The following is a 25807-nucleotide window of genomic DNA, read 5'->3' as shown; positions in this document are numbered from 1 at the left end:
CTTCCCCTGCCCCTCTCCTCTGGCCTGCCCAGGACAGGCTGCCCTCTGGCCACAGCTGCACTTCCCAGGAAAACTGCAGGCTCTGCTGCATTCAGGGGCCAGCCCTTGTGGGTCACCGGCAGCTTGACACGACACCCCTAATGCTGACCGACAGCAGCAGCCATTTAAGCCTCAGGATTCAGACTGTTTCCGTCACAGCAGGGCCATTGGGGCTGCCTTGGTGGCACTGACTTCTTACCAACCTGACTTTTTACACTTGTGAGTATGCAGGTAATTGGCTCATCAATTAAGGCACACATTTCTAAAACAAGTTATGAAATAGAAAACTTTAAGAAACATTACGTTTCCAATCATTATGACATAATATGACCATGCCCATTTTAAGTTATGCCTATATGCAAAAAAGGGCGAGGAAGTTACCTGACAATCCAATCTTCGAAATGCTGCTGCTAGAAAAGGTGCTGCTCCCGGGTTCTCTCCAGGATGATGGAGAGGTTCTAGAGGGCCCTCAGGACAGAAACGGTGCTGCTCCCCGGTCCTCTCCAGGATGATGGAGAGGTTCTAGAGGGCCCTCAGGACAGAAACGGTGCTGCTCCCCGGTCCTCTCCAGGATGATGGAGAGGTTCTAGAGGGCCCTCAGGACAGAAACGGTGCTGCTCCCCGGTCCTCTCCAGGATGATGGAGAGGTTCTAGAGGGCCCTCAGGACAGAAACGGTGCTGCTCCCCGGTCCTCTCCAGGATGATGGAGAGGTTCTAGAGGGCCCTCAGGACAGAAACGGTGCTGCTCCCCGGTCCTCTCCAGGATGATGGAGAGGTTCTAGAGGGCCCGCAGGACAGCTCAAGTCACACATGGCTATTGCACTTGGGGTGGCCAGTGTGACCAAGAGCCTCAGTTGTTGTTGTTATTTAATTCTTATCAATTCTAAGTTTTGTAGACACCTGAGCCTAGTGGACCTCGCAGGCCTGAATCTCGAGCTATCAAGACGGCTAACGGCCTGTCTGAGCCTGAGAGCCGTCCCCACACCCACAGGGCCCCTCTGCTTGTGTCTGTCTTCATATGGTCTGCAGCAGAGATTCATTTCCATTTGGTTATTAATTTTTTTTTTTTTTGAGACAGAGTCATGCTCTGTTGCCCGCGCTGGAGTGCAGTATTGCGATCGCAGCTTACTGCAGCCTTGACCTCCTGGGCTCAAGCAATCCTCCCACCTCAGCCTCCCAAGCAGCCAGGACTACAGGCATGAGCCACCACGCCTGGCTAAGTTTTATTATTTTTAATAGAGACGAGGTGGCACTATGTTGCCCAGGCTGGTCTCAAACTCCTGAACTCAAGTGATCCTCCTGCCTCGGCCTCCCAAAGTGCTGGGATTACAGGCAAGAGCCAACGTGCCCACCCCAGTTTGGTTGCTTTTAAGAGATACAACTTTTTAGAGCAGTTTTAGGTTCACAGGAAAATTGAGAGGAAGGTACAGAGAGTTCTCATATACTCCCCACCCCCAAAGAGAGCCTCCCCCAACACTATCCCCCATCCTTTGCCAGAGTGGAACACTTGTTGCAACTGAGAAGCCAACACTGAGGTACGTCACTAACTAAAGCCCACGGTGTGTGTTAGGCCTCGCTCCTGGTGCTGTGCCTTCTGTGTGAGGAGCCAACAATGAGGTATGTCACTAACTAAAGCCCACGGTGTGCGTGAGGCCTCGCTCCTGGTGCTGTGCCTTCTGTGTGAGGAGCCAACACTGAGGTACGTCGCTAACTAAAGCCCACGGTGTGCGTGAGGCCTCGCTCCTGGTGCTGTGCCTTCTATGGGTTTGGACAGGCGTGTAATGATGTTGAGGTACGTCGCTAACTAAAGCCCACGGTGTGCGTGAGGCCTCGCTCCTGGTGCTGTGCCTTCTATGGGTTTGGACAGGCGTGTAATGACATGGATGCACCATTATCAAGGAATTTCGTGGCCCTAAAAATCCCGTGCTCCGCCTGTCACCCCTCCCCCCCGCAAACCCCTAGCAACCCTGAGCTTGTTACTGTATAATTTTGTTTTCTAGAATGTCACGTGGTTGGAATCGCACCGGGCGCAGCCTTTTCAGGTTGGCTTCTCTCGCTCAGTAAGATGCATTTAAGGCTCCTCCATGTCTTTTCACGGCTTGGCAGCTCATTTCTTCCTAGCACTGAATGTTCCACTGTCTGAATGGGCCCCAGTTTATCCATCCATTCACCTCCTGAAGGACATCATGGCTGCTTCTGGGTTCTGGCAATTATGAATAAAGCTGCTATCAACACCTATATGGGCAGGTATTGAGTGGACATTAAGTTTTCAACTCATTTAAATAAATACGCCGGGGCATGGCTGCAAGTCACACGGTAAGAGTGTGCTCAGGTTTGAAGAAGCCACCAAACTGCCCTCCCACGCGGCTGCCCCACGCCCTCTAGCCACCCGCCAGCACCCGGCCCTCCTCAGCATTTGCCGTCTGTGTCCACGCAGCTGCCCCACGCCCTCCTCAGCATTTGCCATCTGTGTCCACGCGGGTGGCCCATGCCGTCTTCCGCACTTGCCGTCCATGCCCACGCGGTTGCCCCACACCCTCCTCAGCATTTGCCGTCTGTGTCCACGCGGTTGCCCCACACCCTCCTCAGCATTTGCCGTCCATGCCCACGCGGCCGCCCCACACCCTCCTCGGCATTTGCCGTCTGTCCACACGGTTGCCCCACGCCCTCCTCAGCATTTGCCGTCCATGCCCACGCGGCCGCCCCACACCCTCCTCAGCATTTGCCGTCTGTGTCCACGCGACTGCCCCACGCCCTCCTTAGCATTTGCCATCCATGCCCATGTGGCCGCCCCACGCCCTCCTCAGCATTTGCCCTCTGTGTCCACGTGGCCGCCCCACACCCTCCTCAGCATTTGCCCTCTGTGTCCATGCAGCCGGCCCACGCCCTCCTCAGCATTTGCCCTCTGTGTCCACGCAGCCGGCCCACGCCCTCCTCAGCATTTGCCCTCTGTGTCCATGCAGCCGGCCCACGCCCTCCTCAGCATTTGCCCTCTGTGTCCATGCAGCCGGCCCACGCCCTCCTCAGCATTTGCCCTCTGTGTCCACGCAGCCGGCCCACGCCCTCCTCAGCATTTGCCCTCTGTGTCCACATGGTCGCCCCACGCCCTCCTCAGCATTTGCTGTCTGTGTCCACGTGGCCGCCCAAGCCCTCCTCAGCATTTGCCCTGTGTCCACGCAGCCGGCCCACGCCCTCCTCAGCATTTGCCCTCTATGTCCACGTGGCCGCCCCACGCCCTCCTCAGCATTTGCTGTCTGTGACCACGTGGCCACCCCATGCCCTCCTCAGCATTTGCCATCCATGCCCACGTGGCCACCCCACGCCCTCCTCAGCATTTGCCGTCTGTGTCCACACGACTGCCCCACGCCCTCCTCAGCATTTGCCGTCTGTGTCCACGCAGCTGGCCCCACGCCCTCCTCAGCATTTGCTGTCCATGCCCACGTGGCCGCCCCACGCCCTCCTCAGCATTTGCCCTGTGTCCACGTGGCTGCCCCACGCCCCCCTCAGCATTTGCTGTCTGTGTCCATGTGGCCGCCCCACGCCCTCCTCAGCATTTGCCCTCTGTGTCCACGCGGCCGGCCCACGCCCTCCTCGGCATTTGCCTTCTGTGTCCACGTGGCCGCCCCATGCCCTCCTCGGCATTTGCTGTCTGTGTCCACGTGGCTGCCCCATGCCCTCCTCGGCATTTGCTGTGTCCACACGGCCGCCCTACGCCCTTCTCAGCATTTGCCGTCTGTGTCCCCGCAGCCGCCCCACACCCTTCTCAGCATTTACCATCTGTGTTCTGGATTTTGGCTATTCTAATTTGAAGTTAGTTTTAAGTGCTCTTTTCTTAATGAGCAAAAGGGTACAAATAAAGTATCTAAGTTTAGTTTAAAATTTAGTTACCCTCTGCCCGGGGTGGGGAGCGGTGTCTAGGGGTGACCAGCACTGACTGTGTGATGGTCCTACATGCTTGTGAATACAGTAAAAGCCACGGAGCTTTACAAGTTAAATAGGTAAACGGTACTAAGATATGAATTATATCTTAATAAAGCCATAAATAAAAAAACTTAATCTCTCACTTTAAATAAACTATACATATAAAAACAAGTGCTGCCTAGGTTTGTCAGGGAAAAAAACTGCTAATGTTTGAAACATAACCATGCAGATACTATCACTTATATTAACGGCATTTAAAAGTTTGCTTCAAGGGGAAAAAAAAAGACTACTTCTAAAACACTGGAAGAATATTCAATAAAATTTTAACAGTACTAATCTCCCAGAGGTGAAGTATTTTCTTTTTCGTGACTTGTCTATATTTTAGTTTTTATTCTACAATTAACATGCATTGTAATTTTTTTAATTACCCAATTTAGATTATAAACTGTAAAGTCATTTGTAGTACCTGAAATGTAGCTTCCCTACATTTACATAGTGAATACATTTAATAGTGAATACAACATTCACTGAATAAACAACAAACAGAAACCACGACACACCCATCGCTGCGCAGCACATCTCCCATCCTGCTGTGTTATTCTGAAGCCCCCGGACAAATCTACACAAGAAATGCTAAGTACAGAGTCGTGGATTAGAGAACGGCTTCTGGAGTCGGAGAGCTGAGTTCAAACTTTGCTTGCTGGCCACGAGACCCCATCCCTCGTCTATAGAAAGGAATCACAGAATGGAAAGAATCCCTCCCTGGGGCATGTTGCAACAAGTAGGAAACGCCGTGTGGCGCGTACAAAGCCACTTAACCTGAGGACTAAGACGGAGGACCCCGCGTACCTCTTTTTACAGAGATACTGAAGAGAGGACGACAAATACAATATGCACGATGCAAAAGAAGACGCATAGAACACTTCAATTTTCTGTTTTCTTTAGCGAAATATTTATTCTACAAGCTACCAAGACCTGGTGGCTCTGGTCCCAGCACCCTGAGTGGGAGAGAACTGGCCGCCAGCCCTGGAGAAGCAGGCCACCCATTCCCGGGCCACCTTCCCTCGTGAGCAGACAGCGCTCTGACTGTTCCAAGTCCATGAAGAACTTTTAAAGACATGCAACGATTAACACACTGAGAACAAGATTAAAGTAATACTCATTTTTTAAGATCAGAGATAAAAGCTAAGTGTTACTTTTCCTGGGGCTTGGAAGAGCATGTTTGATTCTCATATGAAGGTTTAACTCGGGATATGATTTTCTCTTATTTTGAATGAAGGCTGTTTGTGTTTTAGCTCTATTGTTTAAAGAAAAGTCCTTTAAAAAGCACCAGGCTGCAAACAGCTTCAGCCACAAGAGGCTATTCATAACCACTTCTTGGCTCTGGGTGTCACTGCGGTTTGTAGCTGCTTGTGCTGAAGGAGGCCTCCCCAGAAACAGTGCCATCCCCCAGAAACAATGCTGCCCCCAGAAACAAAGCTGCCCCCAGAGACGATGCCAGTGTGAGTGCTGGCGTCTGTCTGAGCTCATTATGGAAGTTACCAGGTATTTGGTAAATGATTTTTTGTGAACCAACATTAACATGCCAATTGTACTTATTTCTTTTGCCCTAATGTAATTTGCATTGGAATTTTGCTACTAATTAGAGAAAGGCTTTAGCTGGCAGTGTGACTTGTTTTGCATTCTGAGAAATCCCAGATCATCTTCTGAATGGATTTGCTGAGTGCTTACCAGCTAGGTCTAAGTACTTCATAAATGCTAACTTGTCAAATCCTCCCCAAACTTATGAGAGGGGTTCTGTTTTTTCCAGGAATGACAGAAATTGAAGGCTGCTTAGGTCATCAGCTCACACACCTCAGGGTCAACATTTGAACCCCAGCAGCTGGGCAGCAGAGCCTGAAATCTTTCCTGGTGCACAGGCTGCCTCTCCAACACCACTTCCCCTTGTGATGACCTGACGTGTTGCCAAAGACATTTCTAGAGAAGGCACAGGGACCTGGTAAAGGTGAGGAATGGGCATGGACTAAAGAATGATTCCACTGGAACACACAACAGCACCCCTGCCAGGAGGCCCCAAGAGCAGCCACTGAGGAGGACACTTACGAAAAACGAGCAGCAGCCTGAAAATACTCACAAACACAAATGTTAACGCGGTATAAAAACCTACACTCAAAATGTTAAAAATCAGGCCACATGTGGTGGCTCACGCCTGTCATCCCATCACTTTCGGAGGCCAACGTGGGCAGATCACTTGAGGTCAGGAGTTCGAGACCAGCCTGGCCAACACGGTGAAACCCTGTCTCTACTAAAAATACAAAAATTAGCTGGGCATGGTGGCAGGTGTCTATAATCCCAGCTACTCAGGAGACTGAGGCAGGAGAATCCTTGAACCCGGGAAGTGGAGGTTGCAGTGAGCCAAGATCACACCACTTCACTCCAGCCTGGGTGAGAGAGCGAGACTCCGTCTCAAAAAAAAAAAGTTAAAAATTTATATTCAATGACTACAATTATGTAGAAAAGAAATATGGGGAAAAAAACCAGAAAAGTGATGATCTAAAGTAACAGCACCAACTGTGTCCCCACGCAGGGAAGAAATGAGGTCGCAGTAACTTCCTGCTGGATCCTGATCTTCAGGGGCACTTTTAAGTGGACGGTTGACTTAATAATGGGGGAAATTATAATTAAAGTACCACAGAATCCTCAGAAAAGACACCAGGCCATTATCCCTATTTCTATTTGTCGTAAAAGTTATTGGCTAGAAACTCACCTAAGTTTCCAAGCCAGAGCACTGTCATTAAATGGTGGCTTTCTGTATCAAAGACCAAGGTCATGTGGCCTGTCAGCAAGGGCAGGGGCCTCGCTCCCAACCCGCCAGAGGGCTGGGCGGCTCCTCAGCCCCTCCGCGGCTCCCGGGCTCCCGCCAGGGTCTCCCGAGGACACCCTCCTGGGTGAAATGTTAACAGTGGCGAACTGTGGAGAGCTCCACATTCCTGCAGCCTGGAGCTAGTGACCAGCCCTGAGGCTGGATCCAGTAGCCTTGGCCCAAGGACGGCCTGGCCAGTCCAGCTGCACCCAGAGGGCGTGGACCTGTCATACTCTCCCCTGGGTCGAAATCTGGGCAGAGGGAGGGGCTATGGAGACACCCCCAGCCCCAGCAGAGGAGTGTCCTGCTGCAGGGAACCCTGGGCACCCCCAGTCCTGCCTCCATCAGAGGCCACATCTCTGATTAGCACAACTACACACAAAGTGGAGTCCTATGGGCCCAGGAACCTTCTTCAGAAGCCAGTTCTGGTCGTGGAGACCATGGGTGGATGGGCATTTCATGCAATCCAGGTGGTGGTACCGCTGGGCAGAGCTCCTCAGGGTGCCAGGCACTAGCCAGGACTGATGACGACGTCAGCAAATGCTGGAGATAAATTTAATGAGAAAACGGTGTTTCCGCCTTCTTTGAAACAGAGGGCAAAACAGGGTGAAAGGCAGCATCCATCTGCCACGGGATTCTGAACGGGTCCTACGTCCTCCACGCTTACCTGCAGAGACAGCTTCCTGGCCTTTCTTTCATTTTTAACTTTCCCCAACAACTGTACCCGCCTCCTCAGCATGTCAAGGCACCATATTAATGGTGTGCCATCTTACATGTGTGTGGGAAGGAGGGGAGGCAACAGAAAAGCACGCAAGCTCTGGTGCTCACCCCTTCAAACAGAAAACTATCCAAGACAACCACTCATTTCCAAGAAATGCCAAAAAGAAAGCAGGGAGGCGGGAGGGGGCCCCTGGAGGGACAGCCGCCCAAAGTGGGCCCGTGGAGGGTAAGGCCACAGGATGACGCCCACTGCCCTGCTCTGCTGGGGCATCATCTCATTTGATAGGAATGAAAAGCAGTAAAAGATTTTGCTCTCTGCCTCATGTTCCACCTTTATTTTTTAGACAGGGTCTCAGTCCCACCACCCAGGCTGGAGTTCAGTGGAAGGATCTCGGCTCACTGCAGCCTCAACTTCCCGTGCTCAAGTGAACCTCCCACCCCAGCCTCATGAGTAGCTGGGACTACAGGCATGCACCATCATGCATAACTAATTATTATCATATCATTATTTTTGCAGAGATGGGGTCTAATTATTACAACTATTACAACTAATTATTATTACATTATTATTCTTTTTGCAGATATGGGGTCTCACTACGTTGCCCAGGCTGGTCTCAAACTCCTGGGCTCAAGTGATTCACTCACCTCAGTCTCCCAAAGTGCTGGCATTACAGGTGTGAGCTGAGGTGCCCGACCTCATTTTCAATTAAAACAACCTAGTCTGGCAGAGCCTGAATGCCAGCAATCCACACGTAAGTGAACTGTGGCGACAACGAGCACCATGGCGACAAAAAGGCAAGGAGACCGGCCGACGTCACCCCCAGAAGAGAAGCAGTGGAGCTGTGGCCTCGGGTTTCCGGTACCGGGTCCCGTACCCCGTGGTCTTGCGGCTCCGGAGAACTCCAGGAGCTGGACTTCCAGGCCTGGTTCCCCACCGCAGACCCCCGGCAGCAGGAGTGGGCATCCCTTCTGGCCCCTGTGGTGTCGCTGGCTGTTTCTGGGGTGGCCACTGCTCACCCCTGGATTCTCCCGTCTCTGTCGTCCAGCAGGCCCCGGTGACCCCTGGATTCTCCCGTCTCTGTCATCTACCAGGCCCCGGTGACCCCTGGATTCTCCTGTCTTTGTCATCTACCAGGCCCCGGTGACTGACTTGCTTATGAACAGCCTGACTTCCAGGCTGCCTCTTTTCTGATCCAGCTACAATCTCTGAGGGCCCAGAGTGTCCACGTAGTTGGGGGGCACAGACGACCAAATCCCAGCATCTCCCAAGACCCACACCCACAGTGCCAAGGGGCCTGGAGCCCACACAGTTAATTCCGTGACCTCCACAGCTCCATCACCCCCCAGACCTGCAACGGACACCAGGCCCATGTGCAACATGTGGTCCGGCAGGCCCCGGGAGGACCTAGGCCAGGTCTCCAGGCCCTGCAGACGACCTGCCATGGAAACGTCGGTCAGTGTCCACCTTCTCCACTGGCCGGAGCGCGAGCTGGCAACCCTGGCATAGTCTTTTTGGCAACAATTTAACTCAGGTGAGGTGACAATGAAGATAAATCTTTCATCAGCAGGCCCTCCCTTATTGGAGCATATGGATAGAGAGGGCGTGCTTGTCCCTGAGCGGCCGCTCAGAGGAGGGAGGCAGAAAAGGAAACTGGGCGAGCACCCGCCATGGGCGAGCTGAGCTTTAAGCCTGAGCGAGGCCTTCAACACTGGAAGGCGCCATTCTGTAACAACCCTCCCGCTCCATCTCCGATTGCATCAGGCTAAGGGGAATCTTAAGGGAATTTCAGATGCTGACCATAGGTCCCCAAGAGCAATACAGCAGCACCTGTGAGGAACGCAAGAGGCTCACCCAGGATGCCCCCGTGGCAAGGCAAGGATGGGGGCACCCAGGCTCACGTCAGAACCTTCTCTTTCTCCCAAGAAGCTCTCACTCCACCCCATACCCCAGTGACCAGCAATTCAGTGGTTCCAGAAGTACCCCGTCCTTGATGAGAGCAGCAGCACAACCTGACCCACAGGCCCACCTACTGAGTGCTGTTACCTGCAGGAGCGGGAGGCAGGGGCTCTCGCTGGTCCATGCTGCAGCTCCAGATGCCTCTCTCAGCTCTGTTAAGGGAAGGAGCTCCTGCAAGAAGGAGAGACACTGCTTGTCACCGTTCAGGTGGATAAACATGCACTCAATAGGTGTAGGGCTGTCGACAGAGAACCCCGCAAAAAGGAAGAGCTAACTGTCATTACTAGCCATAATTAGAAGACTCACCACCTATTAGTCATGAATACTTGTAAATCTCCCTTGAAACAACATTCAAGAGCAAAACAAAAGAGACTTCTCAGTGTTGGAGTGACTTCACCTTGAAATGTAGCCAGAAGTTTATTTTGCAAATTGGATTCGCCAGCCAGGCCCTCCCAAAATGACACTGGCTTTAACTCCTTGCTGAATTTCCCACTGTATTCTAAAGGGAGAAGTCAACATGTAAACCAAATGGGTTTCTTCCAGACTTAGCTGGGATCAGGTGCGGCGCTGACGGCCCTCTCCACTCCTTTTTCTTCCAGACTTAGCTGGGATTAGGCGTGGTGCTTAGGGCCCTCTCCACTCCTTTTGGTAAGCATGTGGCTAACCTCTCGGGGCGAGGCTGGGTCCCGGCCTGCCTGCTGTTGTGATTCTTGTCTACACTTCGTGTTTCCCTCCCTGCTTCGAGGACACCAGTTTGAGTGTGAGCTAGATGCCAGCGAGTCCCGGGAAGGCCAGTTCCTGGTGACTCGTGTTAAGACCACAAAACACGGGCCTGGCTCCCGCCAGAGCCATCCAGGGTGAAATAAGCTGTCCTCAGGGAACTCTCCAGCTGCCTCGGCTCCAGTGCCAGGGACCAGGCTCTAGCACCGGGGACCAGGCACCAGCTCCAGGCCCTCGCCGCATCAGGAAAAGCACATGGGACCACAGGGGGCATGGTCCCTGAGTGTCACCCACAGGCCAGCTCCTCCGAGGCCAGGCGGGCCCATGCCCAGGGTGGTCACCGGCCTCACGTACTATTCAATGAGGGGAACGCGAGGGGATGGCAGGCTGCCAAGAGCTCCAGGCTCTGCCTGACACACACCCAGGACGCCACCAGGCCGGCGAATTCCCTTATCCTAGTGCAGAGAGCTGGCCACTGGCTCTGGCACTCTCAGAAGCAGACAGACACTACTTTCCAATGAGGATGGCAGTGGGACCCTGCCCCCAACCTCAGATGCGGCACCTCCTGTATTCCCAGCCCAGTGCCCGCCCTTCTGCCTTCCTGTATTCCCAGCCCTGAACCTGCTCTCCCTCCATCCCCCAGACTTGCTCAGGTGCCTGCCACGTGCCACCACCCCCGCCCCATCCCCAGCACCTGGCCTCGTGGTTCGGCGCCTCGCGGCCCCAGTTCCCGCCGCGGCCCCAGTTCCCGCCGCGGCCCCAGTTCCCGCCGCGGCCCCAGTTCCCGCCGCGGCCCCAGTTCCCGCCGCGGCCCCAGTTCCCGCCGCGGCCCCAGTTCCGGTCGCGGCCCCAGTTCCGGTCGCGGCCCCAGTTCCCGCCGCGGCCCCAGTTCCCGCCGCGGCCCCAGTTCCCGCCGCGGCCCCAGTTCCCGCCGCGGCCCCAGTTCCCGCCGCGGCCCCAGTTCCCGTCGCGGCCCCAGTTCCCGCCGCGGCCCCAGTTCCTAGGTTTCAGGTCATTTCACCAACATGGCACACGAGTAGCTCAACACGCACTGGGGCTCCCCACGAGCAGCAGCTGCGATTGTCTCATCTGTTAACACGACTGCTGAGAAAAGAGCGGAACTTCGGTTTGAGGGATGGGAGCCCTTTCACATCATCAGGCCCCGAGAGATGAGCAGACGAGCCACAACCACGCCCTGCTCCCTACTCCCTGCCCCCAGGGAGCCGCGTGTTCACTCAACATGGCCCACTGTGGCCCCCGGTAGCTGGGAAAGAGCCTGGTGATGCTGCTCTGGACACCGTAACACACTCTGTAGCTTAACAATGCACAGGCATCACTAATCAATAAACCAATGGTTTCCATAAACTAATGAGAATTCCTGACAAACAGCTTTCCATCCGCCTCTCTGACCCCCTTTCTGCTTTCCAAAATCGCCCTGGAGGCGCTGCTCATCAGTGTGCGTTCAGGGCAGCCTGAATCCAGGCTCCTGGGCTGCAGGCCTCACACGTGACCCAAATAACCTTCTACATAGATTACTTTTACCCTAGCTTTTTCCTTTTAGGTCCACCTCGCCAGCGCAACTCCAAGACGTAGGTACTGTTATTATTTTTCAATGGAGAAACCACTGGTTGGGAGACTTGAGACACTCACCCAAGGCTACAGCAGAGGGCAGCTGGCTGACGCGAAGGCTACAGCTGAGGGCGGGTGGCTGATGCGAGCACCCAGAGCCCAGCCTAGGCCCCGACGGCATGTCCTTGCCCTTCCACCCACCGGCCGGGAGAGGGGGCAAGTGAGGTCATCGCTCCACCTGGAATATGTGGGGAGTCACAGGATCCACATCGGGTGCCCTTGCAGGTGAGCTTTCTGTGCAGCAAGACAGGGTCCGAGTGCCGGCCAGCGCACCCGTGAGGCGGTAGGGGCCCACCCTCTCCACCCCAGCAGCACCCGTGAGGCGGGAGGTGCCTACCCTCTCCAGCCCAGCAGTGATTCCACAGGATGACAAAGGATGTTATCCTTGGAGGGAAAGCTGTCATATCCAAGTTAAGGTCAGACAGACATGCTTGGACCACAACAGTGAATGTAGGGAATGACGCTCATGGGAGGAAACCTCAAAGACAAGTGCAGCAAACAATGGACAGTCCCCACACCGGACAGTCCCCACGTCGGACAGTCCCCAAACCAGACAGCTTCCACATCAGACAGTCCCCATATCGGACAGCTTCCACACCAGACAGTCCCCATATCAGACAGCTTCCACACCGGACAGTCCCCACACCGGACAGATTCCACACCGGACAGTCCCCACACCGGACAGCTTCCACACAGGACAGTACCCACACCGGACAGCTTCCACACCGGACAGTCCCCACACCGGACAGCTTCCACACCAGACAGTCCCCACACCAGACAGCTTCCACACCAGACAGTCCCCATATCGGACAGCTTCCACACCAGACAGTCCCCATATCGGACAGCTTCCACACCAGACAGTCCCCACACCAGACAGCTTCCACACAGGACAGTCCCCACACCGGACAGATTCCACACCGGACAGTCCCCACACCAGACAGCTTCCACACCAGACAGTCCCCATATCGGACAGCTTCCACACCAGACAGTCCCCATATCGGACAGCTTGCACACCGGACAGTCCCCACACCAGACAGCTTCCACACAGGACAGTCCCCACACCGGACAGATTCCACACCGGACAGTCCCCACACCAGACAGCTTCCACACCAGACAGTCCCCATATCGGACAGCTTCCACACAGGACAGTCCCCATATCGGACAGCTTCCACACCAGACAGTCCCCACACCAGACAGCTTCCACACCAGACAGCTTCCACACCGGACAGTCCCCACACCAGACAGTCCCCACACCGGACAGTCCCCACACCGGACAGTCCCCACACCAGACAGTTTCCACACCAGACAGTCCCCACACCAGACAGCTTCCACACCAGACAGTCCCCACACCAGACAGCTTCCACACAAGACAGTCCCCACACCAGACAGTACCCACACCAGACAGTCCCCACACCAGACAGCTTCCACACCAGACAGCTTCCACACCGGACAGTCCCCACACCAGACAGTCCCCACACCGGACAGTCCCCACACCAGTTTCCACACCAGACAGTACCCACAGCGGACAGTCCCCACACCAGACAGCTTCCACACCAGACAGTCCCCACAGCAGACAGTCCCACACCAGACAGCTTCCACACCAGACACTCCCCACACCAGACAGCTTCCACACCAGACAGTCCCCATATCGGACAGCTTCCACACCGGACAGTCCCCACACCAGACAGTTTCCACACCAGACAGTCCCCACACCAGACAGCTTCCACACCAGACACTCCCCACACCAGACAGCTTCCACAGCAGACAGTCCCCACAGCAGACAGTCCCACACCAGACAGCTTCCACACCAGACAGTCCCCACACCAGACAGTCCCTACACCAGACAGTCCCCACACCAGACAGTCCCCACACCGGACAGTACCCACACCAGACAGCTTCCACACCAGACAGTACCCACAGCGGACAGTCCCCACACCAGACAGCTTCCACACCAGGCAGTCCCCACACAAAACAGTCCCCACATCAGACAGTCCCCACACCAGACTGTCCCCACACCGGACAGTCCCCATACCAGACAGTTTCCACACCAGACAGTCCCCACACCAGACACTCCCCACACCAGACAGCTTCCACACCAGACAGTCCCCATATCGGACAGCTTCCACACCAGACAGCTTCCACGCTGGACAGTCCCCACATCGGACGGCATCCACGCCAGATGGCCCCCACGCCAGAGAGTCCCCACGCCAGACAGCTTCCATGCCAGATGGCCCCCACACCAGACAGCCCCACACTGGATGGTCCCCACATCAAACACCTTCCACTCCAGACACCTTCCACGCTGGACAGTCCCCACACCAGACAGCTTCCATGCCAGACAGCAACCACACTGGACGGCATCCACGCCAGACAGCTTCCAAGCTGGATGTCCCCCACATCAGACAGCCCCCATGCCAGATGGCCCCCACGCTGCACAGTCCCCACGGTGGACGGCCTCCACGCCAGATGGCATCAATGCTTCCGACAATCGGATCCCATGGACAGAGAGGACCACACTGGCTCTGAGACCCTGACAAAACCCAAAATGACCCTTTAGCCTCAGTCAAAAATATTCAGCCAACACCAACTGTGCTGAAGAGTGCGTGGCTCTTTGAAGGAATGAACACATGAGGTCTGAAGAGGACTGCCTCCGGCGTGCACACAGCAGCAGGACCAGACGCTGACTGCTGCCCTGAGTGCAGAGAAAGGGATGGCTTCTCCCCAGGCTGGGCGGGTGCCGGGTGGCTGTGGGAAGGAGAAGACTCCTTCATTCGTCAGCCTGGCCTGGATGACTCTGCAGCCTCAGAGACGGATGGAAGAAGAGTACGTTCCATGGCTGGAGCATCTCCCAACAAAGAAAATTAACAATGCTCCAATACAGCTATGAGTCCTCAAGAGTTTAGGTTGATGTCATCTTTCCCTGGGACGCTGGCACCAGGGCCAATGCCACCTCACGCATCAGGATCGCTGGAGATGGAGTCCAGGCCTGTTAGAGAAAGGAAGGCACCAGGCACCCCCGGCACCCCCGGTGGATCCCAGCCCAAGGTCTGTTCCTTCCACGGTGCACCAGGACCTCGGGGAACAGGACAGACAAAGACGCATCCACCATACGAAGAGGAGACAATGAATAAACGCCCTGAACTCTATGGAGGAGACAATGAATAAACCCCTTTGAACTCTGCAGTCCTGAGGGGAGACAGAGGAGGAAACTGTGAGCACCTGTGAGGAAACCTAGAGCACCTGTGAGAGTGAGGAGCAGTGTCCCCACGACCCCGAGTCCTCACCACCTTGACTCACCATGAGGAACGTGGTATCCCTCAGTTTCTCAACTGCTGAAGAAACAAAGGTCACAGATTCACCTGCCCAACATTAGTAATACGACGCAGCCGAGGAGCCAGGCAGCCTCGGGCTTCAGAGAAAATCAGCGCCCTCCCCTGGTAACCCACGCTCTGTTCTCAAAGGTGGTGAGCAAGTGGCAGGGCCAGAAGCACACTCTTCCCCCTTCCCGCCCTAGACAAGGCCAGCTGTACGCCTGCCGCGTCTGTTCAAGAATGAACACAACACCAGCACGCTCTACCTAACAGCCACGTGGCTTTGTGTGTCTTCCGAGAATTCTGTTTCCTTAAGCCCTGTTGTTTACTCTCCATTTTTTAAACCACACTGTGTAAATCTCATTCATGCTATTTGTTTCTCTACAAAAATGCATAAAAATGAGTCAAATTGATTTCTCATTTTTCCACTGATAATCTTAGGACCAACGGAAAGATGAACAACACTGGGCATTACTCCTTTCTATGCCTGGCCCTTTTTAAGGGTGACAGCTCACACTTCACCCAGCACCGACCATGGCGTCTGCCTGCATCAGCTCTGCAAGTCTGCAGGGCAGCCCTGTGCAGAGAGCATGCCCCCGACCGTCCTGCGGCTCCGCACAGCGCACAGCAGCCCCTGGCTCTGGGAAGCAACTGTCAGATTCTGGCCCAGGCCTTGCCCTACCACCGGCATCCTGACCCATACACAAGTCTCAGGCAGACTGTAAACTCCAAAAATTTCCTTCCAAATTAGTGTCCCTTAAAAACTGCATTCCTAAGAAGGAAAATTTCTATGAGGCTGTATCAGTCCACTTTCACGCTGCTGATAAAGATGTATCTGAGACTGGAAACAAAAAGAGCTTTAATTGGACTTATAGTTCCACATGGCTGGGGAGGCCTCAGAATCATTGTGGGAGGTGAAAGGCACTTCTTACGTGGCGGCGGCAAGAGAAAATGAGGAAGAAGCAAAAGTGGAAACCCCTGATAAACCCATCAGATCTCGTGAGACTTATTCACTATCAGGAGAATATCACGGGAAAGACCAGCCCTGATGATTCGGTTACCTCCCCTTGGGTCCCTCCCACAACACATGGGAATTCTGGGAGATACAATTCAAGTTGAGATTTGGGTGGGGACACAGCCAAACCATATCAGGGGCTGACACAGAAACCACGCCTTTGTTTCTGGACTCAGAGCTGCCTGTGCTCCCTACACAGCCCACGGCAGCATGCGCTTCTCCCCCCCACAGCCTGCTCCCCCAACTCCGACCTGCTGTGAGAAGTATCTGTGTCCCTAGAACCTCCAGGCCACACAAAACATCCCACCCCCTGAAGCCCGGGGGTCTAGAGCCTGTCTTCTGTGTGCAGTCTTCCACCGGCGTCAGCCCACGTGGCTGGCAACTCCCCACAGGTGACTCACCTGGACCTCACCGGCATCGTTTTCAATGGTGGGGCTGGGCTGGGGCTCACTCTCCCTGCCCTGGTGCAGGTGAGATGGACCCTGGGGGCAGAGCAGAAGACTCCGCTTTCAAAACACTCTATCCCCAGGAGCGTGCAGCATGAGCTCATACCTGCCTGGGCTGCAGGCTTTGTTTCATGATTGCTGTCATTTTCCAATTTAAGCATCTTAATGAAAGATTTCATTGTGCATTTGGATTGTGTTTTTTTTTTTCTTTTTTTTTTTTCCATGGCAGAGTCTTGCTCTGTCGCCCAGGCTGGAATGCAGTAGCACAATCTCGGCTCACTGCAAGCTCTGCCTCCCGGGTTCACGCCATTCTCCTGCCTCAGCCTCCCGAGTAGCTGGGACTTCAGGCACCTGCCACCACGCCTGGCTAATTTTTTGTATTTTTAATAGAGACGGGGTTTCACCATGTTGGCCAGGATGGTCTCGATCTCCTGAGCTCGTGATCTGCCCGCCTCGGCCTCCCAAAGTGCCGGGATTACAGGTGTGAGCCACGGCGCCTGGCCTGGATTGTGGTTTTAAACAAAAAGATGATGCATTCAGTCAGAGAGGGAGCCCAGAGACACCGAGGCTGAAGGACCGTTTCATGCCGTGTGCGTCAGGCCGCAGCCCCACCTTCTATAAGTGTTTACACACAGCACAGCCACTGCGCTCCCTGACGCTGTTCAGCGTGACTGTGGGGACACACCCGCACCTGTGCTGCAATTGTGCTGTCTGTGCCGTTCACCGTGTGCCCAGGCCTGCAAAAGGAGGTCAGGGGAGCCCATCCAGCAGCAGGGTGGGAAGGACGCTGGCCGAAGACCCAGGGACGTTCCACAGGCACCATTCCACAGTCAGTGCTTCGGGACGGCATGAGCGTGCTAGCATGAGCTGTCATGCTGACTCCTGCGTGGGAGGAAGTCACCATGACCCAGGGCCTCTACCTGGGAAACAGCTGCAGGGGCGGCAGGGCTGAAGCCTGTGCCGGGAGCCTGTCTGCATCTGCCCCAGCCCAGCACTTCCCAGCCACACAGGCCCTTGACCTGCCTGTACCCCCACGGCCTCAGCTGCACAGGGACGGCACCGACTCACAGGGCTGCCGCGTGGTTTCAGAGATGCACCTGGGGCAGGGACAGGCTCTGTGCCTGTGAAGTGCCCCGCTCTTCACTTACTGCTCAGCCCTGTCCGGCACTCGGGCCTCGAGCATCCTGGGCCCCCTGGTCGGTTTCCTATCGTCCACTCCTCCGGCCTCCATGGCCCTGCAAAGGTGGGGGCGGCAGGCTGAACCACCCACATCCTGTGTCTGCGCCACAGAATGCAGGAGCGTGGGATGTCCCAGTGCCTTGGCAGACACGGGCCGGGGGCCATCAGCGCCCAGCACTCCCCGACCGAGCCGAGCTCAGAGCGTTGTGGCGGACCCGCTTGGCGAATGATGCAGGGGCCATTTCCTCCATCCTCCCACCTGGGGGTGAAGTGGCCCCGCGGACAGACCCCGGGAGCTTGGGGCCGGGAGCCGGCTGCTGGGTGGCCGGTGTCCAAGGCTGCGCGGTCTCTGGACATCCCACCCCTGATGCACCACGGGAGCCAGGAAACCCCTGTGGCCCCGGCATTCTGCACCCGATTGATTTCACATTCATAAGGTTCCAACTCAAGACATAAATCCACGAGGAGGAAACGTAAAAGGACGCAAAGTCTACGGCAGGAGTCCTTCTGGAATGTCATGGTTAACTCAACCAAACACCGCAGCAAGCCAAACACGCCAGTCCTTTCCACTGAATGTTTCCAGAGGTCTGTGAGGACACTCAATGCTTACGGAAAGGGGATGGATGGACGGACAGAGGGAGGGAAGGAGGGAGGAAAGACCTTCTTCTCTAAGACTCGGGAGAACCCCACTGTCCTGGGTTTGTGTTTTGTGACCATCTGGATTTGGCCTCAGAGCGCAGCTGTGACTGAGTCTCAGGGCGCATGGCACCCAGCAGCCCCTCTCTCCAGGGTCCTCCCTGGGCCTGTGTCTCCAGCTCTGCTACCTTCTCACCATTACGCTCTGCTCACCTCGGACTGAGACCGTCTCCGTGGGATCTTCTCCCCTCCTCTGCACGCTCCCAGAAAAGAAAAAACAGTGAAAAGAGAAGCAAATGCATTCAGTCTCGCAAGGGCTTTATAACACAGTCAGTCACGAGCTAACCGGGTCAGAATCAACCCGCCTGGGCCCCAAGCAGGTGTGACCCTCTCTGCGCCACATGCTGGGGAGGGGACAAGCAGCCCCGGACCGGCCACCACAGTATCCACTTGCCCAGGCAGAACTGTCCGTGCCATGAGAGTCCACCCCGATGGGTGAGGGTGGTGTCCAGACAGCTGCGTGCCCCAGGCCTCTGCAGTCGCAGCAGGCAGCCCAGCCCTGCTTACCCTTCCCCGGGAGGGCTGGAGCTGCATGTGTCTGCTTGTCTCCTCTCCTCTAGTGCCCCCGAGCAGGAGTGGTCATTGGGGGGCTCCCAGCAGCCCCGACACGGCTCCCCAACAATGCTGTGTGCCGTACACTTGGGGAGGGGTCATGGTCGCAATGGAGGCTGAGGTGCACAGTGCCAGCTAAGACTCCCTCCCAGGGAAGCAGCACAGGGAGCTGGGGATGGGGGTCAGCGGCCAGGAGGGCTTCCTAAAGAAGGCAGTGGGGCCGGGATCTGCAGGAAAGGAGATGCTTGCTGGAAAGGGTTCAGGAAACAAGCTGGGCCGGGCATGAGGGCAGCAGCGGCCTGGGGACTGCCCGGGGCCTGGCATGGAAAGGGGGCTGACCCAGGGCTGGGAAGAGACCAGAGAGCATGGTGAGCATCCTGGGGGTGGGGGCTTGGAGGCGGTAACAGGGCGCCAAAGAAGAGCCAGAGGCAGCCGTGAGGGCCGTGCTTGGGGCGGATGCAGTGGCAGCGGCTGAAGGCCCCGGGCTGTAGCCTGCCCCTGTCTCTGCCCCTGCCTCTGCCCCTGTCTCTGCCCCTGCCTCTGTCTCTGTCTCTGTCTCTGCCTCTGTCTCTGTCTCTGCCCCTGTCGCTGCACCTGCCTCTGTCTCTGCCTCTGTCTCTCTCTGCCTCTGTCTCTGCCTCTGTCTCTGTCTCCCTCTGCTTCTGTCTCTGCCTCTGTCTCTGCTTCTGTCTCTACCTCTGTCTCTGCCTCTGCCTCTGTCTCGGCCTCTGTCTTTGTCTCCCTCTGCATCCCTCTGCTTCTGCCTCTGCCTCTGTCTCTGCTTCTGTCTCTGCCTCCCTCTGCTTCTGTCTCTGCCTCTGTCTCTGCTTCTGTCTCTGCCTCTGCCTCTGTCTCTCTCTGCCTCTGTCTCTGTCTCTCTGCCTCTGTCTCTGTCTCTCTGCCTCTGTCTCTGTCTCTCTCTGCCTCTGTCTCTGTCTCTCTCTGCCTGTCTCTGCCTCTGTCTCTCTCTGCCTGTCTCTGCCTCTGTCTCTGTCTCTCTCTGCCTCTGTATCTGCCTCTGCCTCTGTCTCTGCTTCTGTCTCTGCCTCTGTCTCTGCCTCTGTCTGTCTCTCTGTCTCTGCGTCTGCCTCTGTCTCTCTGTCTCTGCCTCTGCCTCTGTCTCTCTCTGCCTCTGTCTCTGCCTCTGCCTCTCTCTCTGCCTCTGTCTCTGCCTCTGCCTCTGTCTCTCTCTGTCTCTGCCTCTGTCTCTGCCTCTGTCTCTGTCTCTGCCTCTGCCTCTGCCTCTGTCTCTCTCTGCCTCTGTCTCTGCCTCTGCCTGTCTCTCTGTCTCTGTCTCTGCCTCTGTCTCTGCCTCTGTCTCTCTCTGTCTCTGCCTCTGCCTCTGTCTCTCTCTGCCTCTGTCTCTGCCTCTGCCTGTCTCTGTCTCTGTCTCTGCCTCTGTCTCTGCCTCTGTCTCTCTCTGTCTCTGCCTCTGCCTCTGTGTCTCTCTACCTCTGTCTCTGTCTCTGCCTGTGTCTCTGCCTCTGCCTGTGTCTCTCTCTGCCTCTGTCTCTGCCTCTGTCTCTGTCTCTGCCTCTGTCTGCCTCTGTCTCTCTCTGTCTCTGCCTCTGCCTCTCTCTGTCTCTGCCTCTGCCTCTGTCTCTGTCTCTGTCTCTGCCTGTCTCTGTCTCTCTCTCCCTCTGTCTCTGTCTCTGCCTCTGCCTGTCTCTCTGTCCACAGCAAGGGCGGCTGCACATGACCCTCGACACAGCCTTGGACACAACGCGCCCCCCGCCCACCGCAACTCCTCCGGGCATCTACGGACGCTCCATCCCTTGGAGCCCTTGGGAGACTCCCTTGGAGCAGCGTGGTGATTCGACTGCAGCTGCCCCTTCGACAGGCACCAGCAGAGCGGGGCCACAGGACCCCCTGGGTGGACTAAACCACCCTCGACCCACCGCTGCTCCTCCAGCCCCACAGTCAGGAGGAAGCACCGCATTCCACAGACTCCTGTCCCCACACCCAGTCCCCAGCGGCCACACCCACAGGCTCGGGCACCACCCTCCCCTCCTGCCAACGTGCTGGTTTCCACAGGCAGCTGCGGGAAGGGAGCCCATCCAACTCCACCCGGCCATGTGCCACCCTCCAGGGCACTCCTGACCCAGGGCCACAGCCCCATAGGATCCCATGGTGAGAATGAGAAAAAGCTGCCTGTCATCGACGTGAAAGTCAACACACTGAAAAGTGACTCCATCAGGAGCACCCTGTGCAGGTGTCCAGGAGCGAGCAGTGCACGACCCGCACAGCAGTACATGAGCCGCAGCACAGGACTCTGCAGTGGGCGCTGACACCAGCAATCCCAGCAGCACAGAGCAGCCTTCGCGTCCCAACTCGCTCACCACTCACTGTGCACGGCCCCTCCACGGCTGCCACTGTCCCTCCACGGCCGTCACACTGTCCCTCCACGGATGTCACACTGTCCCTCCACGGCCGTCACACTGTCCCTCCACGGATGTCACACTGTCCCTCCACGGCCGTCACACTGTCCCTCCACGGATGTCACACTGTCCCTCCACGGCCGTCACACTGTCCCTCCACAGATGTCACACTGTCTCTCCACAGCCATCACACACTGTCCCTCCACGGCTGCCACTGTCCCTCCATGGATGTCACACTGTCCCTCCATGGCCGTCACACTGTCCCTCTATGGCTGCCACTGTCCCTCCATGGATGTCACACTGTCCCTCCACAGCCGTCACACTGTCCCTCCACGGCTGCCACTGTCCCTCCACGGATGTCACACTGTCCCTCCACGGCTGCCACACACTGTCCCTCCATGGATGTCCATCACCCTGTCTGCTACAGCTCTCTGTCACATGGCCCCTCCGTGGCTCTCCCACACTGTCCCTCCATGGGTCTGGCCCGTGGCCCTTCCAGCCGCTCTGACACACAGAGCCTCCAAGGCTTCTTCCCATGCAGTTCCCCCGCTGCCCTGGCATTCACCAGTCCCCTCTTGCCTTCGGCCCTCCAGCCCTGGCCGACCTGCTGTTCCTGGACATGCTGGGTGCACCACCTCAGGGCCGCGCAGACGCTGTTCCTCCCACTGGGAATGGGCTTCTGTGGACGTGGGCTCAGCTCATCTCTCGGCTCCAGTGGCATTTCAGGCAATGACCCCATTCTCTTGGCGCCTCGCCTGCCATGGCTCCTATTCAATTTCAAATCCCTCCTCTCCGCACCTTGTAGCCCCGTGTATGCCTTATTTCTCCACCTTGTAGCCCCGTGTATGCCTTCTCTTTCCGCAGCTTTTCATCATATTACTTTACTTCTTAAATCATCTTTCCTGAAGACAAGGGTGCCAGCCCCCCAGGGCAAGCACATGGTCTCTGCGGTTCACACCCTGCCTTGGGGCGTGAGAGCACTTAGTACTTAGCACGCAGCGGTATTCATGAAACACCTGTCTCTTAATAGGTCATTTCCAGATTTGCCGGTGCTTGTCATATGGCCACAGGTAGATTTTCTTCATGTGCAAAGGTTGTTTCTTTTTATAGAAGTTAAATCAAGTATAAAAACTTGATTCAAAAAACACATAAGCACAAAAGGGCACTAAACCTAAGCCAACAGAGAAAGGCCTCAAGGGACCAAGAAGGTGCTCGCAGGTGTTTGCACGGCCCCCGGAGGCTCCTGGCAGCCTGGATGCTGGACAGAAGCCACGCCCAGGAGTCAAGCGCCCACCAAGGACAGCCGCCTGGGCCCCACGGGAAATGAGCCGCCTGAGCCCCACGGGAAATGAGCCGCCTGCCACGCATGCCTGCGGATTGCAGTGGAAATCTCCCAGGATTACAGGTGCGCGCACACAGCCTCCCTCCCCTGCCTTCGTCTGATACTCCTCTTGTCACCAGGAGTCCTTGCCCTCTGGGGCCGTCTGCAGACAGAACGGAGCGGGGAAGTGGCTCTTTAGAGCAAGCGGGAGCTGCCTCCAAACTGCAGCCCTCTGACGGCTGGCAGAGAGCACTTCGGAGCCTGCACACTGGAGAACCTAACCCTCTCCTTCTTGCTACCGCTACCTATGACTCGCTCCCCAGATATTTTCATCAGCTGGCAAAACGCTGCACCTTTCATTCCTTCCTATTAAATCATGGAGAAACCTGCATGTCTAAACGCCATTCCAGGAGCAGGGTGCCTGCCGCCGTCCCAGCAGCCTCCCCGGGCCTCGCCGCGCGTTCTTCCTCCGCAGACCCCGGATTCGGGACCACGAATGCAGCGCTGCGCCGCCGTGCAGCGCTGGGCACCTATGACGCTCGTTTAGACTCCAGCTGCAGCTGAAAAGTGACCTATTCTACATAACACAGGACCACAGCTTCCAGAGAAAGGAATTCTCCTCAGCCCTGCTCTGCAAGAAGTGCCTCTGCTGGCTGAATGCAGAGCCCACACAAACGACAGAAAGCCACGAAGCCGCGGCTTCCGTGGAGGCAGCTGGACGTGGGTCAGGGCCTCTCGTGTGGGCTGCTTCCCACGGGCCTGCTGAGTCAAGTGCTTGAGAACAAAGCATGAGTCGACTTTCTTATCACTCCTGCAGCAAGCAGGCTGGCCAGGGTCAGGGGCTGGCTCCAGCCCTCAGCGGACTTCAAGCTGGCCCGGCCCACACAGGGCAACCGCCCACAGGCCTGGCCTTACCACGTCCCACTGGTTCCATGCCGCTGACCCCGCCAGGCTCAGAACTGCACGCACCATCAGGAAGACCCACCGCATTCCCTCCGTCACAGCTCAGCGCTTCTCACACAAAACATACGGAGCTTCTGAACCAGGAGGGTCATTAACTCTGGAGCTCCCTGGGTTGTGTCTACACGGCCCACGCAGGTATCCTGTCGGGACGACTCAGCTCAGGCCCGACATGAGTGCAACTGTGCAGGCGGGGAGCGCTCGGCCTGGCCGGGCTGGTTGGCCGCCCCCCAGGTGTGCTGGAGGCCCTGCCGCCTGCTTCCTCTCCAAAGCTCGAGGACTCCCCGTCCGTGTCCGCTCAGATACGCACTGAATACCACGCTAGCTTATGTAATGCTCTTTGGACTCACTTTTCTCATGTTCCTTACAGAAAATCAGACACTGCACTGAAATCACTGCTTTATTTTCCTTTCAGAAAAAAAAAATAAGCAAACGATAGAATAAAACAGTAAGTGCGCATGCCACAGTTTATCAAAATGTAATTCCTTAAAACCGTAAGTGTGCATGCCACGGTTTATCAAAATGTAATTCCTTAAAACAGTAAGTGTGCATGCCACGGTTTATCAAAATGTAATTCCTTAAAACCGTTAAGTGTGCACGCCACGGTTTATCAAAATGTAATTCCTTAAAACAGTAAGTGTGCATGCCACGGTTTATCAAAATGTAATTCCTTAAAACCGTTAAGTGTGCATGCCACGGTTTATCAAAATGTAATTCCTTAAAACAGGAAGTGTGCATGCCACAGTTTATCAAAATGTAATTCCTTAAAACAGTAAGTGTGCATGCCACGGTTTATCAAAATGTAATTCCTTAAAACCGTAAGTGTGCATGCCACGGTTTATCAAAATGTAATTCCTTAAAACAGTAAGTGTGCATGCCACGGTTTATCAAAATGTAATTCCTTAAAACAGTAAGTGTGCATGCCACGGTTTATCAAAATGTAATTCCTTAAAACCGTTAAGTGTGCATGCCACGGTTTTAAGGGAGGAAGGCACTTTAAGAGGAAGGCACTGCTCTTCCACAACATAATAACGACCACATCCAAGTGTAAGGGTCTGTTCCCCACAGCTGGACAACAAGCCACGGGCACAAAACAAAACAAAGAACGTGATCTCAGCACGGAAGCAACACCTACGACTTGCAGGAGCCTGACTCACCCCGACTCACCTGGTGCCGAAAAGGGCCTCGGCTGTCTGTAGCTATCAGTGGAGGCAGAGTGTTGAGGTACCACAACCATTCCTTCTGTTTTCTTCATTAAACCCCCACTGTGAGTCCCCAGGGACTGACGGTCATTAAGATATTGGAACCTAGAATGGCCAGATTGGTAACTAGCCAATGCTGATGCAGCCAGGCCTATTCTACGCAGACAGCCATGCATCTCTACATGTGCCTGTTAACAACCTGCATGCTTCCCCATCGCTCCCTCACAAGGGCCCCCGCACCAGTCACAGCTCTGGATACCATATTTTACTTTACACAGTTATTTCCCCTATCAGAAGTGACCCATGGAAGAGAAAAACTTTGAACCCAAACATTTTTAAAAATATTTTACACCTTTTTCACATCATTTAACAAAAATATAAAATACCAACAACCCCCATATAGCACTTTCTACTGGCAGGCCTGCTTTACTCTAATGATACAACAAAAAGCAGGAAATGGCAATGATGGAAGGAAAGGAAAAATCCACGATTTAAAATGATCATTTTGACGGGGCATGCAGTGGCTCACGCCTGTAATCCCAGCGCTTTGGGAGGCTGAGGCAGGTGGATCACTTGAGGTCGGGAGTTCAAGACCAGCCTGGCCAACATGGCAAAACCCGTCTACTAAAAATACAAAAATTAGCCGGGCACGGTGGTGGGTGCTTATAATCCCAGCTACTTGGGAGGCAGAGGCAGGAGAATTGCTTGAACCTGGGAAGCAAAGACTGCAGCAAGCCGAATCTCTCCACTGCACTCCAGCCTGGGCAACAGAGTGATACTCCATTTCAAAAAAAAAGATCACTTTTTTATCAAAATTTGGAAAACTACTCACAGAAAACAAACAAACAGAACCAAAACCAATGTCCAAACCTGACAACTATGAACAGGCTGAAGCAGA

The 25807-nt window shown here is 55.3% G+C and overlaps 1 protein-coding gene across 21 annotated transcripts in view, besides 10 other annotated features; it reads right to left on the bottom strand.

Moving 5' to 3' along the window:
- ARHGEF10 (Rho guanine nucleotide exchange factor 10) overlaps positions 1-25807 on the bottom strand; it is a 135313-nt gene that overhangs the window by 105618 nt on the left and 3888 nt on the right. For 18 of the 21 annotated variants that reach the window (XM_047422452.1, XM_047422450.1, XM_047422454.1 and 15 more), the window contains one exon: positions 9588-9671. The exons of 1 other annotated variant lie outside the window; for it this stretch is intronic. In XM_047422452.1, coding sequence (XP_047278408.1) covers positions 9588-9624 — 37 coding nt within the window. In that variant the 5' untranslated portion in view covers positions 9625-9671. Of the gene's footprint in view, positions 1-9587; positions 9672-11272; positions 11402-17312; positions 17342-25807 lie in introns of those variants that run through there. 2 more of the 21 variants (XM_047422449.1, XM_024447335.2) reach the window with 2 other exon arrangements.
- Positions 8266-9465: an enhancer, noted in NCBI's record as "CDK7 strongly-dependent group 2 enhancer chr8:1791725-1792924 (GRCh37/hg19 assembly coordinates)". NCBI's record gives its function as "activates an origin of replication core promoter dependent on BRD2, BRD4, P300/CBP, MED14 and CDK7 cofactors, with strong dependence on CDK7, by STARR-seq in HCT116 cells {active_cell/tissue: HCT116}" and the evidence as "EXISTENCE:reporter gene assay evidence [ECO:0000049][PMID:35650434]".
- Positions 8266-9841: a biological region, named in NCBI's record as "CDK7 strongly-dependent group 2 enhancer GRCh37_chr8:1791725-1792924".
- Positions 8966-9841: an enhancer, noted in NCBI's record as "H3K27ac-H3K4me1 hESC enhancer chr8:1791349-1792224 (GRCh37/hg19 assembly coordinates)". NCBI's record gives its function as "activates a minimal SCP1, AML or CMV promoter by ChIP-STARR-seq in naive H9 embryonic stem cells {active_cell/tissue: H9 hESC(naive)}" and the evidence as "EXISTENCE:reporter gene assay evidence [ECO:0000049][PMID:30033119]".
- Positions 9940-10817: an enhancer, noted in NCBI's record as "H3K4me1 hESC enhancer chr8:1790373-1791250 (GRCh37/hg19 assembly coordinates)". NCBI's record gives its function as "activates a minimal SCP1, AML or CMV promoter by ChIP-STARR-seq in primed H9 embryonic stem cells {active_cell/tissue: H9 hESC(primed)}" and the evidence as "EXISTENCE:reporter gene assay evidence [ECO:0000049][PMID:30033119]".
- Positions 10818-11697: an enhancer, noted in NCBI's record as "H3K4me1 hESC enhancer chr8:1789493-1790372 (GRCh37/hg19 assembly coordinates)". NCBI's record gives its function as "activates a minimal SCP1, AML or CMV promoter by ChIP-STARR-seq in primed H9 embryonic stem cells {active_cell/tissue: H9 hESC(primed)}" and the evidence as "EXISTENCE:reporter gene assay evidence [ECO:0000049][PMID:30033119]".
- Positions 11698-12577: an enhancer, noted in NCBI's record as "H3K4me1 hESC enhancer chr8:1788613-1789492 (GRCh37/hg19 assembly coordinates)". NCBI's record gives its function as "activates a minimal SCP1, AML or CMV promoter by ChIP-STARR-seq in primed H9 embryonic stem cells {active_cell/tissue: H9 hESC(primed)}" and the evidence as "EXISTENCE:reporter gene assay evidence [ECO:0000049][PMID:30033119]".
- Positions 17215-17806: an enhancer, noted in NCBI's record as "H3K27ac-H3K4me1 hESC enhancer chr8:1783384-1783975 (GRCh37/hg19 assembly coordinates)". NCBI's record gives its function as "activates a minimal SCP1, AML or CMV promoter by ChIP-STARR-seq in primed H9 embryonic stem cells {active_cell/tissue: H9 hESC(primed)}" and the evidence as "EXISTENCE:reporter gene assay evidence [ECO:0000049][PMID:30033119]".
- Positions 19192-19692: an enhancer, noted in NCBI's record as "H3K4me1 hESC enhancer chr8:1781498-1781998 (GRCh37/hg19 assembly coordinates)". NCBI's record gives its function as "activates a minimal SCP1, AML or CMV promoter by ChIP-STARR-seq in primed H9 embryonic stem cells {active_cell/tissue: H9 hESC(primed)}" and the evidence as "EXISTENCE:reporter gene assay evidence [ECO:0000049][PMID:30033119]".
- Positions 22398-23313: an enhancer, noted in NCBI's record as "H3K27ac-H3K4me1 hESC enhancer chr8:1777877-1778792 (GRCh37/hg19 assembly coordinates)". NCBI's record gives its function as "activates a minimal SCP1, AML or CMV promoter by ChIP-STARR-seq in naive H9 embryonic stem cells {active_cell/tissue: H9 hESC(naive)}" and the evidence as "EXISTENCE:reporter gene assay evidence [ECO:0000049][PMID:30033119]".
- Positions 23314-24230: an enhancer, noted in NCBI's record as "H3K27ac-H3K4me1 hESC enhancer chr8:1776960-1777876 (GRCh37/hg19 assembly coordinates)". NCBI's record gives its function as "activates a minimal SCP1, AML or CMV promoter by ChIP-STARR-seq in naive H9 embryonic stem cells {active_cell/tissue: H9 hESC(naive)}" and the evidence as "EXISTENCE:reporter gene assay evidence [ECO:0000049][PMID:30033119]".

The sequence above is a fragment of the Homo sapiens genome, chromosome 8 (assembly GCF_000001405.40).
Source record: "Homo sapiens chromosome 8, GRCh38.p14 Primary Assembly".
Classification (NCBI taxonomy): Eukaryota; Metazoa; Chordata; class Mammalia; order Primates; family Hominidae; genus Homo; species Homo sapiens.
The sequence above is the reverse complement of the archived record's forward strand: the minus strand, read 5'-3'. Positions and strand labels throughout refer to the sequence as shown.